Genomic DNA, 7445 nt, shown 5'->3' with positions numbered 1-7445 from the left:
CGATTTCTCACCGAGCCTTAGCTGCCTTCCCGCGGGGCAGGGCTCGGGACCTGCAGCCCGCCATGCCTGAGCCTCCCACCCACTCCATGGGCTCCCCTGCGGCCCAAGCCTCCCCGACGAGCACCACCCCCTGCTCCACGGCGCCCAGTCCCATCGACCACCCAAGGGCTGAGGAGTGCGAGCGCACGGCGCGGGACTGGCAGGCAGTTCCACCTGCAGCCCCGGTGTGGGATCCACTAGGTGAAGCCAACTGGGCTCCTGAGTCTGGTGGGGACGTGGAGAGTCTTTATATCTAGCTCAGAGATTGTAAACACACCAATCAGCACCCTGTGTTTAGCTCAAGGTTTGTGAGTGCACCAATCGACACTCTGTATCTAGCTGCTCTGGTAGGGCCTTGGAGAACCTTTGTGTCTACACTCTGTATCTAACTAATCTGATGGGGACTTGGAGAACCTTTGTATCTAGCTCAGGGATTGTAAATGCACCAATCAGCACCCTGTCAAAACAGGCCACTCGGCTCTACCAATCAGCAGGATGTGGGTGGGGCCAGATAAGAGAATAAAAGCAGGCTGCCCGAGCCAGCATTGGCCACGCGCTCGGGTCCCCTTCCACACTGTGGGAGTTTTGTTCTTTTGCTCTTTGCAATAAATCTTGCTACTGCTCACTCTTTGGGTCCACGCTGCTTTTATGAGCTGTAACACTCACCGGGAAGATCTGCAGCTTCACTCTTGAGCCCAGCGAGACCACGAGCCCACCGGGAGGAATGAACAACTCCAGACGCGCTACCTTAAGAGCTGTAACACTCACCGCGAAGGTCTGCAGCTTCACTCCTGAGCCAGCGAGACTACGAAGGAACCCACCAGAAGGAAGAAACTCCGAACACATCTGAACATCAGAAGGGACAGACTCCAGACGCGCCACCTTAAGTGCTGTAACACTCACTGCGAGGGTCCGCGGCTTCATTCTTGAAGTCAGTGAGACCAAGAACCCACCAATTCCGGACAGAAGGGCCCAGGGAGCATGGAGTGCAGGGACACTGCCGGCTGCCTTTCACCTTTCTCTCCTTCCCTTCCCCACACAGTCAGTCTGGGGAATCCCATTCTTTTCTTTTCTTTTCTTTTCTTTTTTTTTTAATTTGGAGATGGAGTCTCATTGTGTTGCCGAGGCTGGAGTGCAATGGCCCAATCTCGGCTCTCACTGCAACCTCTGCCTCTAGGGTTCAAGCGATTCTCCTGCCTCAGTCCCCCAAGTAGCTGGGATTACAGGCGCGTGCCACCACGCCCAGCTAATTTTGTGTTTTTAGTAGAGACGGGGTTTCACCATGTTAGCCAGGCTGGTCTCGAACTCCTGATTTCAGGTGATCCACCCGCCTCGGCCTCCCAAAGTGCTGGGATTACAGGTGTGAGCCACTGCGCCCGGCCTGGGGAATCCCATTCTTATGATGTGATCACCCAGTGTCCCTGTGTCAGACCTCTGGTGCCAAGAGAGACCTTAGAGATCACCTGATCCCACGCCTTCATTTTACAGATGGAGGAACTGAGGCTCAGGGAGGTGATTTTTTCCAAGGTCACCTGCCTAGGCTTCCTGGAGCCAGCTCTGTGCTCTTCTAAAACCACCACTTACTTTCCAATGGAGGGAGGTGACGTGTCGAGCACCTCTCACCTCTATTAGCCAGCCTGGTGTCTCCTGAAAAGCAGCGAGCATGTGCATGTGTGCACTGATAATATGTACCCCTGCAAGTCAGAGAGGGCACGTGCACACCTACGCGTCTTTGCAAACTGCTGGACATCATCTGCTGGTATGTACCCTAGTTAGGTGCTGAGACTAGGGTGAGGGCCAGGGAAAAGGCTGGGGTTGGGAGGCGTGAGTGAGCACTTAGATTCAGGAAGTTGTCAGTAAGACTGAGGAATGTCCTTGGGAGTCTTTGACTGGGGGTGGTGTTGAGTCTGGGTCAGACAGGTCAGAGAAGTCAGCCCAGAAAAGGAGGCCCATGAAGGACACTCCAAATGTTCATTGGAAGAGGGGCTTTCCCCAGGCAGAAAGAACAGGGCTGGGAAGCTAGAAGACAAGAGGCATGTTTGGAAGACAAGAGGCATGTTTGGGAAATGTCCAATAGTACTAGACTGTGGACCAGGGTTTATTGGGGGAGCAAATAGCTAGCAGGTATTTATTGAGCACTTGCTATATGGCAGATGCTGTGCTAGGTGCTAGAGACAAAGAGGCTTGAGTTGAGAGTTCTTCATGAGTGTGTTCTGTTCATCTTCCCAGCAGATGCAGAGGTCCTGCTCTGTGACCCACACTCTGAGCTCTAAGGAGAAGGAAACACACCCACACCCACACCCTTGAGAACTCACCACAGGGAAGAGTCCACGGAGGCAGACCCAGAACGGAGTGCAGAGAGCAATGGGAACCGCCTGGGAATTGTTCTCAATTGTGTCCTCACGCCCACACACTGACCTCCCGGGGCTCTGCAGCCAGGCTCCCTGTGCCTTCCTCGCCCCGGGGAGAGTCTGAACTCCCAGAATGCGTGTGTGTGCATCCCCTGCCCCTGCAGAAGACTCTCAACGGATCCAGCTAAGTCACCAGCCCAAACGCAAGCCCAAGTCTTGGCGTGACAGGGGCATTCAGCACTCACAGTTTATCTGTGGAGAAGAATCCCAGGCACTGGGTTTCAGAATCAAGGGCACTAGTGCGGAGGAAGTCTCCATCAGCCCTCACCTGACTCCTGGCGCTGTGGGTCCCTGAGGGCCCCAGGCAGCTCACCAATTCTCTGCTTCCCATGGATGCTTGTGGTTACTGGCTGACCTCAGTGTCTCTCCCCAGGATAACAGGACTAGGGGAGTCTCCCTTCACAGTTTGAAAGCACCTTAGTTCCTCCTACTGTCTCAAACCTCTCCATGGGCGCTGGCAGACCTGCTATGATTTTCATCCTACAGATGAGGCCCCAGAGGCTTGAGGGTGAATGGTGCTCAAGGGTGAGGTCTCTCTGAGGCTGGTGCCCTCCCCACACCCGGGGCACTGCCTGACAGCTATCCCCCAAGACCCCACTCCCTTCAGCCACTGGGACTTCCCTCCCAATGCAGGCCGTGTGTGCCCTGCTCCTGTGCAGCGGCAGGACAGGTTTCCAAAAACCAACGGCAAAGTTTCCTGAAAGGCTCTGGCTTCCAGGACTCTTGGCAGGGCTCTGCCCAGGAAGCAATGAGCTGGCACTTTCCTGGCTGTGTGCTTATAGCTGACCCTGGCCTCAGAGGCCTTCCTCTCCTTATCAGGAAAGGATGCCAAGGAGGAGGGAGGAGGCTCTGGGGAGAGTCCAGGCCTTTGTGTGAACCATCCTAAGGGAAGTGGATGCTTCTGAGCAGCCCTGCCCGGCTCTGGGCCTTGCCCGCCCTCATCTTCAGCAGGGCTTTGGCACTGGAAAGAATGAGCTTCAGCTCCTGAGCCTTGCAGGAGTCAGAGGTCAGCAGATTCCAGGGCTCAGCCTTTCCGCCTCAGTCAGAAACTCTCAGCAGACCAAAGGCCTGGGCTACAGTCCACTGAGAGTTTTTGACCAAGGCAGAAATTCTTCTCCACAGATAAACTGTGAGATAAACTGGGTGGGGACATCAGCAGCCTCCTCTCTGACGGGCAAAGTTCTTGGGGCCTGCCATGTGACCACCCAGCCTGGACTCCCTGCCAACACACACACAAAACAAGGCCCCTGCTAGACCCCAGTGCCTGGGCCCAGCTACTGGGCTGGCTTCTCTGCTGGTGTCCAAGGCTCACAGATTCCTGTTCTGCTTTCCCTCCAGACATCCTCTCTGGTCTTCCTGGTCTACCCTCAGGCACACAGGCCTCTCCTCCCCTTATGCCTCTGTCAGCTCTCTCCTCTGCCTGGACCGCTCTCCCCTCATCCCTCAGCCCCAGCTCTCCCCTCAATCCCTGGGATGCCTGTATGGACCTCCCGGAGGGCTGGTCCCTCTGTCCCACGCCCTGGACTTCTCTGCAGCACTCCTCATGGCCACCGTGACTCTCTTGGGGGTGATCCGTTGACTCACTCCGGCTGCAGGAGGGCTGGGACAGTGCCTGCTGCCTGTGTGCTGGCCAGACACAGTGGGAGTGCCCGCCCATGCTTACTGGGGAAGCAGAGACAATGGAATGTTTTAGCAGGATTGGGGTCTTCAGAAGGTACTTCCATGAGGTCCTGCATACAGCTGGGGTAGGAGGAGGCAGTTTAGGGCCTGGACGATGTGGGGCTGACATGAGAGAACAGGCCAGGGTAGGGTGCTGGGCAGGTGGGTCAGAGGGGCAGTCGTCCGCCTGGTACACAATGTCTTATATATGTTTGCAGGGGTGAAAAGAGACCTGTTCAGGGGCAGTGCCCAGTGAGGAGACCCTCAAACGAGAGGCAGAGTCCCTCAAGCCTTTGTACAATGCCACCAAGGGTGCTGCCCCTTCTTCAACAGAACGTCCTCCTTGCAGGGAGGCTGCAGTGATGTCAGAGATGGTGGGTTCAAACCTGCTCCTGTCTTCTCTCTGTAGCCTCCCTTTCCTCATCTGTGAAGTGGGGATGATAAGAGCTAACTGGCAAGGTTATTGGGTGGTCAGCTGAGGGAAAGTTCTTGAAAGGTGTTACTGAATCAAACGTCATTTTGCTTTTTCCTTCTCGCAGAATCACAGGCCAGAGGTGAGAGCTGGAGAAAGGGAAACTCTCCCAGTCCCTGGGAGTGGTCATTACAGACTGGGAAATCGCTCTCCAGCTGATGGTAAAGGACTGCAAATCCTATTCATGTGACTCAGGGCCTGGTGTGCCTTCTGGGAAGAAAGCAGAAGAGGGTTCCTAACTGTAGAAGGGAAAAGTTTCCCTTTATTCTTCCAGCCACGTGGTTCAATAAGCATGTACAAGCTCTTACCAGGGCCAGGCACTGTGCGGGCACCAGAAACATTAAGATGGAATGACACAGGTCTGCCCTGGAAGAAACATTAAGATGGAATGACACAGGTCTGCCCTGGAAGGGCTCCTTTCCAGGGCTCAGGGACTCTGTGACTCCTTTTGGGGAGCAGAGTTGTGGACAAGAGTGCATTTTTCTAGAGAGATGGTCCACAAGCCATCCAGAGCCAGGCTCTGTCTCCAGGTACCCTTGATCCTTGGAGACCTCCCTCAGGTCCTGGCTTTCTTTTTGGATTCAGGATTTCCCTGTGTTCCCCAGGCTGGAGGGCAGTGGCTTACTGCCGCCTCCACCTCCTGGGCTCAAGCATTCCACCTGCCTCAGCCTCTCAAGTAGCTGAGACCACAGGCACACACCACCAGACCCATAGAACTTTTTTATTTTTTGTAAAGACAGGGTCTCACTATGTCTTTACATAGTGAGGTCTCGAACTCCTGGGCTTAAGTGATCCACCCACCTCGGCCTCCCAAAGTGCTGGGATTACAGGCATGAGCTACCACGCCTGGCTTAGTTAGCCCTGGCTTTCAATTCCATCTCTGTTCTCCAGGACAAGCTGTCTCTGCAACTCCAGGCTCTTCTGGAAGCTGCCACCAATGCCTTTTCCACGTGGGGAGCTGCTTGAGGTTCCTTCCTCCCTTAACTCAAATGATGACAACTCCAGCTTTTGGTTACTCAGGCCAAACTCTCAGAGTCATTCTAGACCCTTCTCTTTCAAAATGTACACCCAATCTATCAGCCAGTCCTGTCAGCTCTATTTTAAAATATATGCAGAAACTAAACGATAGTGGTAGAAAATAGATCCGAGGGGCTTGGAGTGTGGAATAAGGGGGATACAAAAGAACAGGAGAAAATTTGGAAGCTGATGGGAATGTGAAGTATCTTGACTGTGGAGATGGTTGAGTGGGTGTATATGTGTGTCAAAATACAATAAATTGTACACTATATGTGTGGTTTAATATGTGCTAGTTATGCCTCAATAAAACTGTTTTTTTTTTTAAGTCAGATATTTTCAGTGACCTCTGTGAGACCCTGGACTAGTCGCTTCCCCTCTCTTAGCCTCAGCTGCTCAATTAGTGAAACAGGGGTCCCTAAGGGACCTTCTAGTTGGGTCTGTGTATGCCCACCATGACTGTGCTCCCCACATCTCAGAAGGAGCTCCCCTCCTGGGGTGGGGGGCAGTGGTACTGTGTGACCCAGATTTCTTCCAGCACTCTTCTGAGCTCAGCTCAACCCAACAGCCTTCCTGCAGAAGTGGCTCAGACCAAGTTGAGAGGTTAGTTGGGGAGAGGGGGATGCCAGGAAATCGGGCTAAATCCTGTAGGAAAAATAAGTAGGTGAGTAAATCCATGGCCCCACACTGCATGGGCTTCTCTTCAGGCACAGAAAACCTCCAGGGAGCTGGAGAGGAGCACAGGGATCTTGACCAACACCTACATTTGACAGGTGGGGAAACTGAGGCCCAGGAGAAGTCTTTCTTTTCTTTTCTTTCTCTTTCTCTCTTTCTTTCTTTCTTTCTTTCCTTCCTTCCTTCCTTCTTTCTTTCTTTCTTTCTTTCTTTCTTTCCTTCTTTCCTTCTTTTCTTCTTTCTTTCTTTCCTTCCTTCCTTCCTTCCTTCCTTCGTTCCTTTCTTTCTTTCTTCTTTCTTTCTTTCTTTCTTTCTTTCTTTCTTTCTTTCTTTCTTTCTTTCTTTCTTTCTTTCTTTCTTTCTTTTTTTCTTTCACAGGGTCTCGCTCTGTCACCCAGGCTGGAGTGCAGTGGTACGATCTCAGCTCACTGAAATCTCCATCTCCTGGGTTCAAGTGATCTCTGCTTCAGCCTCCTGAGTAGCTGGGACCACAGGCACACACCACGACACCTGGCTAATTTTTGTATTTTCAGTAGAGACAGGGTTTCGCCATGTTGGTCAGGCCGATCTTGAACTTCTGGCCTCAAGCGATCCACCTGCCTCGGCCTCCCAAAGTGCTAGGATTACAGGCATGAGCCACCACGCCTGGCTGAAGTCATTTTTCAAGTACACTGAGAAACCAAGCTGGAGTTGATGCAGGAATGCAGGTTGCTGGACTCCTAATCCACTACTTAAATGTCACCTTCTCCTTGAGGACTTCCTGACCACCCTGTATCATATTGCAACTTTCCCTCACCCCCAGTATTTCTGATCACCCCTGCCTTGCACCTGTATTCTCCATAGCACTTTTCACTTTCTAATATGTAACATAATTTACTCATATTTATTATTTGTCTCCTCCTGGTAGAATATAAGCTCCCCAAGGCTAGGGACCAGTGTGTGTTTTGTAAACTGATTGATCCTAAGCGTCTGGAGTAGCCTTCAACAGTGCTTAGCATAAAGCTATCTTTAACAGATACTTATTGAATTAATAAATTTATCAGAGACCACTACCCTGCAAAGAACAAGGGATTCTAACTTACTCTTATCTGAGTTCAGTTTACCCCTCCAGCACTAACTAGGTGCTTTATTTTACCTCCTTATGTTCCCACTTTCTCATCCACAAATATGATTTC

General features: G+C 52.2%; 1 long non-coding RNA gene across 2 annotated transcripts, besides 2 other annotated features; it reads left to right on the top strand.

The window, feature by feature from the left end:
* The first annotated feature begins 586 nt into the window (after positions 1-586).
* LOC105374117 (uncharacterized) lies at positions 587-5923 on the top strand. 2 transcript variants are annotated; one of them, XR_924516.3, is made up of 4 exons: positions 587-1798; positions 2269-4483; positions 4649-4742; positions 5473-5923. It is a non-coding gene; the product is annotated as an uncharacterized LOC105374117 (long non-coding RNA). The 2 variants fall into 2 exon arrangements; XR_924515.3 differs by having other exon boundaries at positions 4649-5923.
* Positions 2056-2556: an enhancer, noted in NCBI's record as "H3K4me1 hESC enhancer chr3:133786727-133787227 (GRCh37/hg19 assembly coordinates)". NCBI's record gives its function as "activates a minimal SCP1, AML or CMV promoter by ChIP-STARR-seq in naive H9 embryonic stem cells {active_cell/tissue: H9 hESC(naive)}" and the evidence as "EXISTENCE:reporter gene assay evidence [ECO:0000049][PMID:30033119]".
* Positions 3933-4433: an enhancer, noted in NCBI's record as "H3K4me1 hESC enhancer chr3:133784850-133785350 (GRCh37/hg19 assembly coordinates)". NCBI's record gives its function as "activates a minimal SCP1, AML or CMV promoter by ChIP-STARR-seq in primed H9 embryonic stem cells {active_cell/tissue: H9 hESC(primed)}" and the evidence as "EXISTENCE:reporter gene assay evidence [ECO:0000049][PMID:30033119]".
* Positions 5924-7445: the final 1522 nt, after the last annotated feature.

Source organism: Homo sapiens, chromosome 3 (genome assembly GCF_000001405.40).
Source record: "Homo sapiens chromosome 3, GRCh38.p14 Primary Assembly".
Classification (NCBI taxonomy): domain Eukaryota; kingdom Metazoa; phylum Chordata; class Mammalia; order Primates; family Hominidae; genus Homo; species Homo sapiens.
Note: the sequence above shows the minus strand (reverse complement) of the source record. Positions and strands in the feature narration are given on the sequence as shown.